Here is a 15,426-nt window from a genome sequence, read left to right on the forward strand (position 1 = left end):
TAGTTTTTTGGATTTTTTTTTTTTTTTTTTTTTTGTAGAGATAGGGTCTCACTCTGTTGCCCAGGCTGGTCTTGAACTCTTGGGCTCAAGTGTTCCCTTCCTCCTCGGCTTCCCAAAGTGCTAAGATTACTCAGCCTCTGTTTTTGTATTTAGAGTGTGTTTCTTTTAGAAGACATGTATGTGTCTTGTTTTTTTTTCCTATCTGATAATCTCTGCTTTTAATTGATGCATTTAGTCCATTTATATTTAATGCAATTGTTGAATTTATAGCAACCATTTTGCTTTTTGTCTCAGCTCTTCTTTGTTCACTTTTTTCTGTTTCCTATTTTCTTTTTTTTTTTTTCTTTTTTCGAGACAGAGTCTCACTCTGTCACCAGGCTGGACTGCAGTAGCACGATTTCAGCTCACCGCAACCTCCACCTCCTGGGTTCAAGCGATTCTCCTGCCTCAGCCTCCCAAGTAGCTGGGACTACAGGTGCACACCACCAGGCCCAGCTAATTTTTGCTTTTTTAGTAGAGACAGGGTGTCACCATGTTGGCCAGGATGGTCTCGATCTCTTGACCTCGTGATCCGCCTGCCTCAGCCCCCCAAAGTGCTGGGATTACAGGCGTGAGCCACCATGCCTGGCCTCTTTTGGATTTTTTTTATTTAATGTCCCTCATTGGTTTATAACTTATTTATTTTATTTTATTTTATTTTTTATTATTTATTTATTTATTTTGGCAATACATACGGTCTTGCTCTGTCATCCAGGCTGGAGTGCAGTGGCACCATCTAGGCTCACTGCAACCTCCGCCTCCCAGGCTAAAGAAGTGATCCTCCCACCTCAGCCTTCTGAGTAGTTGGGACTACAGGCATTCACCACCATGCCTGGCTAGTTTTTGTATTTTTTCTAGAAATAGAGTTTTGCGATGTTGCCCATACTGTTCTGAAACTCCTGGACTCAAGCAAATCTGCCACCTCAACCCCCGAAACTGTTGTGATTACAGGCATGAGCCATTGCACCCGGCCAGTTTATACATCTTTAGTCTATTTTTATGGTGATTGCTCTAGGGTTTACAATATGCATCCTTATCTTATCACAGTCTACCTTCAAATAAAATTGTACTGCTGCATATATCATATTAGACCTTTATAACAATCTGATTTCCCTACTCTGCCTTTGTCATACCTTTTACTTATACATATGTTATTGAACCCAGCTCCATTGGTATTATTTTTTAATACTTGTATCCTCACTATATGTTAATTCCTTAACATATTCACAATATAATTCTCTTAAAGTTCTTGGCTGCTAATTTCATTGTTTATATCATTTCTGGGCCCATTTCTATTCATTGGTTTTCTTCTGGTTAAGGATCACATTTTCATGTTTTCTTTCATGTCTAGTAATGTTTTTATTGGATTTTCACATTGTGAATGTTATGTTTTTCCTTTTCTTTTTTTGAGATGGAGTCTCACTCTGTCGCCCAGGCTAAAGTGCAGTGGCACGATCTTGGCTCACTGCTACTTCCGCCTCCAGGGTTCAAGCAATTCTCCTGCCTCAGCCTCCTAAGTAGCTGGGATTATAGGCATGCACCACCATGCCCAGTTAATTTTTGCATTTTTAGTAGAGACAGGGTTTCACCATGTTGACCAGGCTGGTCTTGAACTCTTGATCTTAAGTGGTCCACCCGCCTCGGCCTCCCAAAGTGCTGGGATTACAGACATGAGCCACCATGCTCGGCCTTTTATGTTTAAAAACTGTAACATTTTATTCTTTTTTTGTTGTTGTTGAGATGGAGTCTCACTCTGTTGCCCAGGCTGGAGGGCAGTGGCATGATCTCAGCTCACTGCAACCTCCGTCTTCCAGGTTCAATCAATTATCCTGCCTCAGCCTCCTGAGTAGCTGGGGTTACAGGCATGCACCACCACACCCAGCTAATTTTATTTATTTATTTATTTATTTATAGTAGAGGCGGGGTTTCACCACTTTGGCCAGGCTGGTCTCGAACTCCTGATCTCAAATGATCCATCTGCCTTGACCTCCCAAAGCACTGGGATTACAGGTGTGAGCCACCATGCCCGGCCTTGTTGTACTTGATTCTTGCAGGCAGTCAACTTGGTTGGGAATCAGCTTAGTCTTTTTTTTTTTTTTTTTTTTTTTTTGTGTGTGAGACAGTATCTAGCTCTCTCACCCAGGCTAGAGTACAGTGTTGTGGTCATAGCCTCAGTCTCCTGGGCTCAAGCAGTCTCCCAAGTAGCTGCAACCATAGGCATATGCCACCACACCTGGCTAATTTTTTAAATTTTTTGTAGAGATGAGAGTCTCACCATGTTGCTCAGGGTGGTCTTGAACCCCTGGGCTCAAGTGATCATCCTGCCCCAGCCTCCCAAAATGTTGGGATTATAGACATGACCAACCATGCCCAGCCTAGCTTAGTCTTTTTGAGGCTTATTTTTAAGCTTTGTTTGGGAGGGCCTAAAGTACCCTCTATTTTATGACCACTCTGGCCTTACCCCTAGGGGGTGGCCTTTTCTGGGCCCTACTGAGTGTCTCTCAACTTTCTGTAAGTTCCAATTATTATTCAGTTTGCAGTTCCCTGGTAGTTTTTCTTTCCCTGATAATTGTTTTATGTGCCCAACGTACGGAGTCTCACCTTACGCATATGCAGTCTGGTATTTGGCTAGAGACTCAAAATGACACCTATGAATACTTATGCAATCCCTTCTCTGGATCCTTTTATTTTTTTTTTTTTAAGATGGAGTCTCGCTCTGTCACCCAGACTGGAGTGCAGTGGCACTATCTCGGCTCACTCCCGAGTAGCTGGGATTACAGGCAGCTGACACCATGCCTGGCTAATGTTTTTATGTGTTTGTTTGTTTGGTTTTGAGACAGAGTCTCGCTCTGTTGCCCAGGCTGGAGTGCAGTGGCCTGATCTCGGCTCACTGCAACCTCCGCCTCCCGGGTTCAAGTGATTCTCCTGCCTCAGCCTCCCGAGTAGCTGGGTGGCACGCACCACCACACCTGGCTAATTTGTTTTGTTTTGTTTTGTTTTTGTATTTTTAGTAGAGACGGGGTTTTGCCATATGGGCCAGACTGGTCTCAAACTCCTGACCTCAGGTGATCTGCCCTCCTCGGCCTCCCAAACTGCTAGGATTACAGGCATGAGCCACCACACCTGGCCTGCATACTCTTTCTCTCTGATAACTTGCCTTATAAATTATTGTTGTCTTGACCTCCCCAAAGTCTGATCTGTGTCTCCTCATTTCAGCGAGGCTATCATACTCTGTTAGTAATCCCTTTTCTTGTACTGTAGTCCAGAAAGCCAGGGAAGCTGGAGGGCTCACTGAATTTGTTTTCCTTCTCTCAGTAATCAAAATTCTGCATGCCTGTTGTCCGATGTCTGAAGATAGTTGTTTCATATATTTTGTCTAGTTTTCTAATTTGTTTTTATTGCTGGAAGGCTAATGAACTACCAGTCATGCTATCATGATCACAGCAGAGTCAGACTGAAGTTTTATTAAATTTTTTTGAGCCTTTATCTCTATTAGATACAATGTTAAAAGCTTTATTTGCATTGTTTTATCTAAACTTCATATAAACCCCACAAATTTGCAGTACTTTTTTTCTTATTATAGACACATAAACTGAGAGTTATGAAGGTTAAGAAACTTGCCCCAAGTCACAGAGCTGGTAAGTCATGAGCCAGGAGCCAGACCTATCTGATTCTTCCCCTTCGTTAAAAAGATTACCTTCCCATTTAATATTCAACGATTATTTTTGCTGATTATAAAAGTAATGCATGATTATTAAATAAATCTTTGAAAATATAAAGATTTATAAAAAGAAAATCTAAAATTCCCATAGTTGCACTACCCAGGGATAGACCTGCTAACATATCTTTCTATTCAAGTTATATATACATATATATGTCTCATATATACACATATGTGAAGGCTAATACTGAGCGTCAACTTGATTGGAATGAAGGGTGCAAAATATTGATCTTGGGTGTGTCCATGAGGGTACTGCTAAAGGAGATTAACATTTGTGTCAGTGGGCTGGGAAAGGCAGACCCACCCTTAACCTGGATGGGCACCATCTAATCAGCTGTCAGTGAGGCCAGAATATAAAGTAGGCAGAAAAATGTGAAAAGGCTAAACTGGCTTAGCCTCTCAGCCTACATCTTTCTCCCGTGCTGGATGCTTCCTACCCTTGAACATCAGACTCCAAGTTCTTCAGCTTTGGAAAGGCTCAGACTGGCTTCCTTGCTCCTCAACTTGCAGACAGCCTGTTGTGGGACCTTGTGATCGTGTTAGTTAATACTACTTAATAAACTTCCATATATATATATCTATAGATATCGATATCGATATCTATATCTATATCTATACCAAGTCACAGAGCTGGTAAGTCATGAGCCAGGATCCAGACCTATCTGATTCTTCCCCTTCGTTAAAAAGATTACCTTCCCATTTAATATTCAACGATTATTTTTGCTGATTATAAAAGTAATGCATGATTATATCTATATATAATATATATAGATATATATAGATATCTATAGATATATATAGCTATATATATCTATAGATATATATATAGATATATATAGCTATATATATCTATAGATATATATAGATATATAGATATATAGATATCCCATTAGTTCTGTCCCTCTAGAGAACCCTAATAAACCATATAAGCAACATAAAGATATTATTACATATGTGCGAATATATATGTATGAGTGTATATATGTGTGTGTCAGAGTTTTTTATCTGTATTACAAAGTTAGGATCCTATGGAATTCTATCATACATTTATCCATACTGTTTTATAACCTGCATTTACCACTTAATAAAGCCTTATAAACATTTGCCTTATAAAATTTTCCGTTAGATATAAACATTCTTTGAGAACAAGAGTTTTTTAGTTTTTATGGCGGAAAATTTCAACCATACTACAAGGAAAGAGAATATCATAATGAACCTTCATGCATTCATTACTTAAAAATTATTAACATTTTCTAATCTTTGAATATAATTTTTAATGGTTGTCTCATATTTTCATGCATAGATGTAGCACTGATAATTTAACCAATTCTGCATTGATGAACATTTGCATTGTCTTTTGTTATTGTGAATAACCCTGTAAAAAGCTCTTTCTGAATAAGTCCTTGTGCAAATACAAAATTATATCCTCAGGATAAATTCCTGGAAACAGAATTACCTGATTAAAGAGGATGAACATTTTAAGGCTTTTGATACATGTTGCCAAAACGCTCACTAGCAAGTTTGTATCAATTTGCTTTATCTCCTCCCATAACAGTGTAGGAGAGTGCCATTTTACCACACTCCCAAACAACTGAGGATTATTCTTCAAACATGTGTTTGCCTATTGGACAGTCTGAATGATACACTGGCATTCTTCCTCCACCACCAGCCACCTTCATGCCTCAAATTAGCTACAGAGAGACTGGCTCTCATAGCAATAAGGTTTACTGGGGGCTGAAAGTCAAAATGAGACTAGAGAACACATTCTTTGTTCTACACACATCCCCTATCAAAATACACACTACCACCTATCCCAAACATGTGGGCCTGGGATCTGGCATCTCTCTCTCCTTAGAAAAGCCAGAATCCTTTATTGTGGCAACAATAGGGAGCAGCTGATCAGCCACAGGTCCTGGCAAAGGTGGCACCAGCCACCTCTCTGGGACTAGACCAAAGCACTGAGTTCTGGCTAATGCTATGCCAGGAAGGCATGTGCCTTTCCGTTTTCTCGGCCTGCATGCAGACTTGCAAATACTGTCTCCAGAAGTTGGCTCCAAAACAGCTAACAAACGTGTAACTGGGCAGAAAGAAGTTCAGGGCACAGGATGGCTTATGAGAGAACAATTCTGAGAGAACTGAGATGCCTCTCAAGTCATTTCACTCCCTCCTCTACTCCCCAAGCCTTGACAATCAAGAGGAAGATCTGTAAGGATGCCAAGAATAGTCCTAGCCTTGAAAACTGGGGTCTGGATAATAAAGCGATAGGGAAGACTGCAGGAACCTTGTCTAAAGCATGGGGCTGGAGCATCTGAATTTCAATACATGAGCTTACATTACTCACTAGAAAGTAAGCTTCATAAGCACAGAATTTTTTTCTTTTTTGTGTATGGATTTATCCCACAGGTAAAAAAAAAAAATGCCTGACACATTGCAGGCATTCTATAAATATTTGGATTAATTAACCTTCTGAATTTATTCATTGAATGGAAAGGACGAATTAGGAAAACCATATACTCAACACTTACGTATTAGATACTTAATATATGTACAGTAGTCCCCCTTATCCACCAGGCTTACGTTCCAACCTCCCCCCCGTGGATATCCAAAACCATGGATAGTTCTGAACCCTATATATACTATGTTTATTCCTATACATACATATGTATAATCAAGTTTAAGTTATAAATTAGGCATAGTAAGAGATTAACAACAATAACTAATAATAGAAGAGAACAATTATAATAATATGTCAACATCACTACTCTTATGCTTTGGAGCCATTATTAAATAAAATAATGGTAACTTGAGCACAAGCACTGCAATACCTTGGCAGTCAATCTGATAACCGAGATGGCTAGTGACTAACAGGTGGGTAGCATCTATATCCTCGATACGCTGGACAAAGGGCTGATGCACATCCCTGACAGGATGGAGATGGAGCTGGACAGCAAAGCTTTCATCACACTACTCAGAACAGTGAGCAATTTAAAACATAGGGATTGTTTATTTCTCTTCCTTTCCATTTAATATTTGCAGACCACTGTTGATCACAGGTAACTGAAAGCACAAAAAAGGAAAACGGTGGTTAGGAGGGCACTACTGTGTATCACTGGACTAGGAGCTAAGCATAGGCTCAAGGAATGATTAAAAAAAAAAACTTTCCTTCTGGAGAAGATGATATGTGCACAATAAAAACTTAAGTCTTTATTAGGTTTTGGAGCATTGGTGTAGACAGCAGGAACTCTGTCTCAGCTGATGAGGGAAGGTATTGGAAAGGAGGTGAATTTGGGTCCAGGTCTTGAATGGTGTTGATGGTGTTCCCTAGGGCTGCAATAACAAATTACTACAAACTGAGTGGCTTAAGACAACAGGAATTTATTTCTCTCACAGTTCTGGAGCCACAAGTGTCAAGGAGAGCCACACTCCCTCCAAAGTCTCTAGAGGAGAATCCTTTCTTCCCTCTTCTAGATTTTGGTGGCTGCTGGCATTCCTTGGCTTGTGGCAGCATAACTCCAATCTCTGTCTCTGTCTTCCAACGACCTTCTTCCCTATGTCTCTCTGTGTCAGGACACTCTCATTGGGCTTAGGGCCCACCCTAATCCAGTGTGATCCCATTTTGAGCCTTATCTTAAATTACATCTGCAAAGACCCTGTTTCCAAACAAGGTCATATCTTGAAGTTCCAGGACATGAGACTATGACACAAATTTTTGGATGACACTTTTCAACCCACCACAAAATGGATAGAAGAGCAGTGACAAAAACAAAAACTCAAGGGACCATGACTCCCAAAAACCAACATGTAGCCAAAGCCTCAAAGCTTTCTGAAGTCATTCCAGAACAACACAAAAGAAAAGAGACAACTGCAAATGTAGGGTTCCCAATAGACACATAACCTTCTGGATTGAATTTCCAAAAACTGAGAACAATTTAAAACACACATGGAATGTATAAAAGGAGAAATTTTGTTTCAAAATTATATTTGAGTTTGAAATGGGCAAATAATTAAAAGCATGAAGTCTAGAGTCAGATGGTCCTAGATTTGATTCCCAGTTTCTTAAGTTACTTGCTCTATAATTTGGGCATATTACTCCTTTCTCCACACCTCATTTTCCTCATCAATAAAATATAGATAACAATACAGCCTGGCTCCTAGAGTCGGTATAAAGATTAAAAGTGATAGTGCACTTAGAATGCTTAGTCTAGAGCCTGGCATACAGAAACTGCTCAAGAAATGTTATCTCATTATTTTTAGATGCTGATAGAAGTGGACAATGAATTCAATGAGGGGACGGAGAAGGTTAGGAAACTGGACATTAACAGGATATTGTAACGGAATGTTTACATTCAAGAAGAAAAAATAATTTATGTTTTCCAAGGACTGGGGTATATTCCTATTTAACTGTAATATCTAGTGTGGCAGTTCTTAAAGTATGGTTTGGGGACACCAGGGAATCTCCAAAACCCTTTGAGGTAGTCGATGAGGGCTTTCCCACTCTCATTCTCTCTTGAGGGTGCTGTGGAGTTTTCTAGGTGCCACATGACATGTGATGTTGCAGCTGAACAAAAACAGAAGCAGATATGAGAATCCAGCTGTCTTTAATAGGCCAGACATTAAAGATATTTGCAAAAATGTAAGACATTGACTGTCCTATTGCTAACTTTTTTAAAAAAATTTATATTAACATATATATTGACTGTTACTTTTAAATGAATGAATAAATTAAAGATGTATCTATTTTAGTTTCTAATACAGTGGATATCAATAAATATAACCCACATAACAAAAGCACTTTGAAATTTTCAATATTTTTTAATAGGAAAAAAGATCCTAAAACTAAAAAGTAGGAGAATCTCTGGTCTAGAGAAGCACATGACATGCCTGGCAACACCTCTGCAAAATACCAGGTAGTCACTGGATATAAGTGGGCTCAACATTCAAATTCAGAGATTATCACCTCATCAAAATATTTTTAGAAATGTTATGAGGAAAGCAATGTGAAATCAATGCTTCTATAATATATCCATTTCCTTTGTGCTATGGTTTGAATGTTTATGTTCCCTCAAAGTTCATATAGTTGAAATCCTAACCCCCGTGGTGATGGTATTAGGAGGTGGAACTTTTGGAGATATGTTTAGGTCATGAGGGCTCCACCTTCCTGAATGGGACTAATGCCCTTACACAATAGGCCCAAAAGAGCTTGTTCACTCCTTCCATGTGAAGACCAAGCTAGAAGGCATCGTCTATGAACCAGAAAGCAGGTCCTCTGGCCCGAATCTCCTGGTGCAATGTGTCAGGCATTTTTTCTTACTTGTGGGATAAATCCATGCACAAAAAAAGACAAAAATTCTGTTCTTGTGAAGCTTACTTTCTAGTGAGTAATGTAAGCTTATGTATTGAAATTCAGATGCTCTAGCCCCATGCTTTAGACAAGATTCCTGCAGTCTTCCCTGTCCCTTTATTGTCCAGATCCAGTTTGATTGTAGACTTCCCAGCCCCGAGAGCTATGAGAAATAAGTTTCTGTTGCTTATAAGCCACCTAGTTTATGGTATTTTATTATAGCAGCTAAAACAGTCTAAGACACTTTAATTCTCAGCAATTGTTCGACAGGCAGAGCTTCATGGATTGTAAAGATCAAAGATCCACTCAAGATAGCTCAAGTAAAGGTGAACACAAAGACAACCGCTAAAAACCCAGAATGTAACATGTATTTGTAGTATAAGTTTTCATCTTATACTCCCCTTATTTCACATCCTGTCGTCTTGTTTTATTCATATTAGAATTGCCAATTTTTCTTGCAATAAATTGAAAACCACTCAAGCCTTTACTTAGGAATTAGGTTACATCTTTGCTTTTTGTTGTTATAATTCCAGAACTGCCATTTTTTTCCCAGGAGAAAAATGGTATGGATGGTCATATTCTATACCATGTAACCCTATCCTAACTGGCTACAGCAGATTGAACTGAAACAGGATACTTAATCTAAGGGTAGACAGTCCATGATTGATCTATGGCATATTTTCTGTGAGTCTAACGGTGGCTTCCTATTGTTAAATATACCGATAGGCAGTCCTCCAGAGCAGCAAGCTCAGACTTCTCTGATGATTAAAAATAAAACATACAAGGGGCTGATCAAAGAACGGATACGCAGGCTTCTGTCTTGGAATTTATTCAGGTATTTGAAGAGGCCTGTGAATCTGTTTGTTTAACAAGGCCCCAGATGTGTCTTATCATCAGGGAAGTTTGGTAAACAGGTGGCTTTTTTATAAAGGCATTGGGAAATCCCAGGTATGGAAAAGAGCAGTGGTTCTTGAACTTTATGAACATACCAGTTACTTGGATCTACCACAGAGAGATTATGACTAAGTAGACCTGGCCTGAAGCCCAGGAATCACCGTTTTATTCCCCAGACAATTAATATGTACACTCAACTTTGAGAATGGCCAAGATGAGATGGTTTTTTTTAAATTTTTTCTGGAGATGGGAACTCCATTGTTGCCCAGGCTGGAGTGCAATGGCGCGATCTCGGCTCACTGCAACCTCTGCCTCCCAGGTTTAAGAGAGTCTCCTGCCTCAGCCTCCCAAGTAACTGGGATTACAGGTGTCTGCCACCACACCCAGCTAATTTTTTGTATTTTTAGTGGAGATGGTGTTTCGCCATGTTGGCCAGGCTGGTCTAGAACCCCTGGCCTCAGATGATCTGCCTGCCTTGGCCTCCCAAAATGTTGGGATTACAGATGTGAGCCAGCACACCTGGCCAAGATGGTTTTATTAGATGATTTTTCTCTTTTCTTTTGTTTTTTTCTATCATCAAAGTGTTTTGATTCTGAGATTCCCTACCATCAAAGAACAGATTTTTTTTTGAAAAAATAAATGAAAGGTAAGTAGTGGGCTCAGAACAATTTTGGAGCAGGCTCTGCTACCTCTGCTATGGGGGGAGGCAGAGCACAATGCAGGCCTTCAGCAAGCTTAAGGGCAACTCTGGGATATTTAGGAACTGTGGCTGGGGTAAAAGTGAGACAGGAGGGGCGCAGACAGGGAAGCTTCCCTTTCTTTCCCTCAGCTCCTCATGATGGCAGCCCATCATCAACTTTTTTTTGTTTTTGTTTTTGTTTTTTTGAGATGGAGTCTTGCTCTTGTCACCCAGGCTGGAGTGCAGTGCTACAATCTGGGCTCACTGCAACCTCCACCTCCTGGGTTCAAGTGATTCTCCTGCCTCAGCCTCCCAAGTAGCTGGGTCTACAGGCACCCGCCACCACATCCAGCTAATTTTTGTACTTTACTTAATAGAGATGGGGTTTCGCCATGTTGGCCAGGCTGGTCTTGAATTCCCAGCCTCAGGTGATCCGCCCGCCTCGGCCTCCCAAAGTGCTGGGATTATAGGCGTGAACCACTGTGCCCAGCCTCAACTTCTAATCCTCATCAACTTTCAGGGTGGGTCAAAACTCCACCAAGTGCTACTAGCCCAAATCTCACGCTGAGTGCATAACTGAACCAGTGAAAGCCACAGCCCTCTCAACCACATGACATTGTAAATGCCTTTGTAAACTGCAGCTTGGACTGAAACTTGGTGAAGACAACAAATTATGCCCCAGAGGTTCCAGTCTCTGAAATTTCCTCATTAATGTCACATCAGCCTGAAATCAAGATGCTATTTCTCAGTGGGAGCTTATCTTTACTATCAGATCACACTGCTTATTTTCCAAGAAGGTCCAATTACACTTTGCTTATTCTCCTTCCTAGAAAGAACTGAATTGATTTGCACTAGCCTGATTTAGTGCCATAGGCGTTTGATTCTCCATTAAGAAAAGTGTTCTTTGGTCACCTCTCAGAATTCACAATGAACCTGTACTTCTTGCATCTTATCGTCAGGGAAGTTTGGTAAACAGGTGGCTTTTTTATAAAAGCACTGGGAAATCCCAGGTATGGAAAAGAGCAGCAATTCTCAAACTTTGTGACCATACCAGTTACCTGGATCCACAACAGAGAGATTATGGCTCAGTAGATTCTGTTATTCCCAGTCACTGCTTTTTGAGTCTAGACCCACAGGCTGCATAAGACAACCTTTATTTTTCTTAATAACAATCTATTGCCATCTATCAAATTACATATTGGCCAATTTATTTTGTTTTCTATCTCCCTCTAGTAGAACGTAGGCTCCATATGAGGGTAAAGTTTTGTCTATTTTATTCCCTGGGTCTAAAAAGTTGTCTGGTAGTTAGCAGACCGTTAATAAATATTTGTCAATGGGATGAATAAATGGGTTTTGTTTTCTCTCTGACCAGTTGAGGGAGAAGAGGGAAGTATGGCTTGTAGCTGGCTGAGTCAAGGGACAGGGGAGAGTGGTTGGTTCTAAGGTTCAGGGTCAGGCAAGGGATATAATTTAAGGAAATGAGATACTGTGGGCAGAGAAAACCTTAACCAAAGTTTAATGTAGAGTAGCTTCAAGGCTCTAACACAAAGCACTAGAGCAAAGTGACCAATGGACGAAAACTAAGGTTGGGTACTCAGAGCCTAGAGATCAGACACAGAGGGTCAGAGGCTAAGCAGAGGGAAAAGTGTGTGGCAGGTGAGTGCAGGAACCCCCAGCCCCAGCAGAGTTACACTTGAACCACCAAATTCTGCTTCCTGCTGGTTTTCCCTTATAAAAATAGGACATTAAAAAGCTGCTACTCACTGGGCATGGTGGCTCACACCTGTAATCTCAGCAGTTTGAGAGGCCGAGGCAGCCAGATCATTTGAGGCCAGGTGTTTAAGACCAGCCTGGCCAACATGGAAAGCCCTGTCTCTACTAAAAAAAATACAAAAATTAGCTGGACGTGGTGGCCACACCCATAGTCCCAGCTACTCGGGAGGCTGAAGCAGGAGAATCACTTGGGCCCCAGAGGCAGAGGTTGCAGTGACCTGAGATGATGCCACTGCACTCCAGCCTGGGCAACAGAGTGACACTCCATCTCAAAAAATAATAAATAAAAATAAGTAAATAAAAGCTGCTACTATTTCTAGATTTACATTGAAGAGCAGCAAGCTCTTGCTGACATTAGACAACTTAGCATGAAAAGTTCTAAGTGGTAAGAAAATAAAATACAAAATATAGTAAGCTAGTAACAACATACCATTTTTCCTCTTTATTATGCCATAGAACCTGACAAATTTGTAGCCATTCTGAGGCCTCGTTTGAGTCTCAGAGTATTTTTTAAAATATATGCTTCATTTATTTTGAAATAATTCCAAATTTATAGAAAATTTACAAAAGAGAATTTCTGTATACCAAATTCTCCAAATGTTAACAGCTCCCGTGTTTACCTTACCATTCTCCCTCTCCCTATATACTTTGTTTGTTTGTTTCTTGAGCCAGTGTCTCGCTCTGTCACTGGGCTGGAGTGCAGTGGTGTGGTTACAGCTCACAGCAGCCTCAACATTCCAGGCTCAAGCAATCATCCCACCTCAGCCTCCCAAGTAAGTGTGACTATGGGCACATGCCAACACAACCAGCTAATTTCTTTTTTTATCTTTTTAAAATTTTTTGTAGAGATGGGGTCTCACTAGTACTTCCCTATATACTTTGTTCTAAACCATTTGAGAGTAAGTTATCTATAGTATCACATTACCTGTAAACATTTCTTTTTTGGAAGATTCAATATCATAAAAATGTCAAAATCTCAAATTGATAAATAAATTTCATGCAGTTACAATAAAATTCCAATTTTTTTCCAGGAGCCTGACAAGTTTTATCTAAAATGTTTTGTAGCCTTTATTAAAGAGAAATACAATGTTGAAGAAAAAAAGATAGGACTTGACCTGCAAAGTATCAAAAATTATCGTAAACGTATAGTAATTAGGACAGAGTGGTATTGACAAAGGTATGGACAAACCAATCAATGGGAACTCAGAAATAAACCCAAACGTATACAGACTTGATTTTATTTCAGTACAGCCATGTTAGTTTCAGGTGAAAAGGATAGATGTTTTTCAGTGTGTGGTACTGGGACAATTATTAGGTTGGTGCAAAAGTAATTGTGGTTTTTGCCATTGCTTTTAATTATTTTTAATGGCAAAAACTGCAATTACTTTTGCACCAACCTAATAGTTAACTTTGGGGAAAACATGGTATTAGACTCATAACAGTCTTTAGCCAGACTGTTTAAAGACCTGTACGAGAAAAGTAAAAGCATATGACTCTTAGAATCTTATATAGAAGAGTAACTTTATTAACCCCTAAACATTCCTATGCGTATTTCCTAAACACAAGGACATTCTCTTACATAACCACAATTTAATTATCAAAATCAAGAAATTAACATTGATTCACTACTATATCTTAATATAAAGACCTTATTCAATGTTGCCAATGGCCCCACTAATGTCCTGAGAGCATCCTGCAAGAACAGAATTCTACTGTAACCCCCACTGTGTTCAGTCACTGGCTGTAAGCAACCCTGAGTGAAGGCCGTGGTGGATCACAACAGCTGGAACTCAGGTCATTTCTGCTCCCCACAGCAACAGATCTGGGTGACAAGTTTCTATAGCTGCTAATATAGTTTGGATATTGGCTCCACCCAAATCTCATGTTGAAATATAATCCCCAATGTAGTAGGTGGGGCCTAGTGGGAGGTGATTGGATCATGGGGGTGGATTTCTCATGAATGTCTTAGGACCATTCCCTTGGTGCTGTCCTCGAGATAGTGAGTGACTTCTCGTAAGATCTGGCTGTTTAAACATGTGACACCTCGCTGGTTATCTCTCTTGCTCCTGCTCCCACCGTGTTAGACATCTGCTCCTCCTTTGCCTTCTGCCATGATTGGAAGCTTCCTGAGGCCTCTGCAGAAGCAGTTGCTGGCGTTATGTTTTCTGTACAGCCTGCAGAACCATGAGCCAATTAAACGTCTTTTCTTTCTACATTAACCAGTCTCAGGTATTTCTTTAAAGCAGTGCAAGAATGGCCTAATATAGCTGCTACGGTAGGCCTTCTTGTTACCAAACTAGAAAGGTCAAGAGAATCCTAGAAGTCCATCCTGAGCTGAGTTGTTCTGCTGTGCCCACCTCGGCAACTGCCGGCCTCTGACCTCTTGGTAGGCCAGAATTAGAAACCTCTCTATGTCTGAGCCAGTGTAAGTCAGGTTTTCTGTTATTTGTGGTCAAAAGCGTTTCTAACTGACATAAGCCCCTAAAAATAGAAATGCCAGATTTTTTTTTTTTTTTTTTTTTTTAAGAGACGGAGTCTCGCTCTTTCGCCAAGGCTGGAGTGCAGTGGCATGATCTCGGCTGACTGCAAGCTCCACCTCCCAGGTTCACGTCATTCTCCTGCCTCAGCCTCCCCAGTAGCTGGGACTACATGTGCCCGCCACCACACCCGGCTAATTTTTTTTTTTTGTATTTTTAGTAAAGACGGGGTTTCACCGTGTTAGCCAGGATGGTCTTCATCTCCTGACCTTGTGATCCACCCACCTCGGCCTCCCAAAGTCCTGGGATTACAGGCGTGAGCCACCGCGCCCTGCCAGAAATGCCAGATTTTTATAGCTACGCATGTACACACACACAAACACACATACACATACTCAAACTGCTCTCAAGAAAAAATTTAACAAATGAATTACATAATATATGAGTACAGCTGTTTCCTCTCATGACATGCAATATATTTTTATCACTTCAGCTTATTTTG

The 15,426-nt window shown here is 40.3% G+C and overlaps 1 protein-coding gene across 1 annotated transcript, besides 1 other annotated feature; it reads left to right on the forward strand.

Moving 5' to 3' along the window:
* The first annotated feature begins 1,450 nt into the window (after positions 1–1,450).
* Positions 1,451–10,460, forward strand: LOC124900866 (putative uncharacterized protein encoded by LINC00596). The gene is made up of 3 exons (XM_047416557.1): positions 1,451–1,594; positions 8,015–8,059; positions 10,395–10,460. Exons 1-3 carry the CDS (start codon positions 1,451–1,453, stop codon positions 10,458–10,460), a joined length of 255 nt encoding a protein of 84 aa, XP_047272513.1.
* Positions 14,790–14,839: a silencer, noted in NCBI's record as "silent region_15493". NCBI's record gives its function as "represses an Ori minimal core promoter by ATAC-STARR-seq in GM12878 lymphoblastoid cells {active_cell/tissue: GM12878}" and the evidence as "EXISTENCE:reporter gene assay evidence [ECO:0000049][PMID:35858748]".

This window comes from Homo sapiens, chromosome 4 (assembly GCF_000001405.40).
Source record: "Homo sapiens chromosome 4, GRCh38.p14 Primary Assembly".
Lineage (NCBI taxonomy): Eukaryota > Metazoa > Chordata > Mammalia > Primates > Hominidae > Homo > Homo sapiens.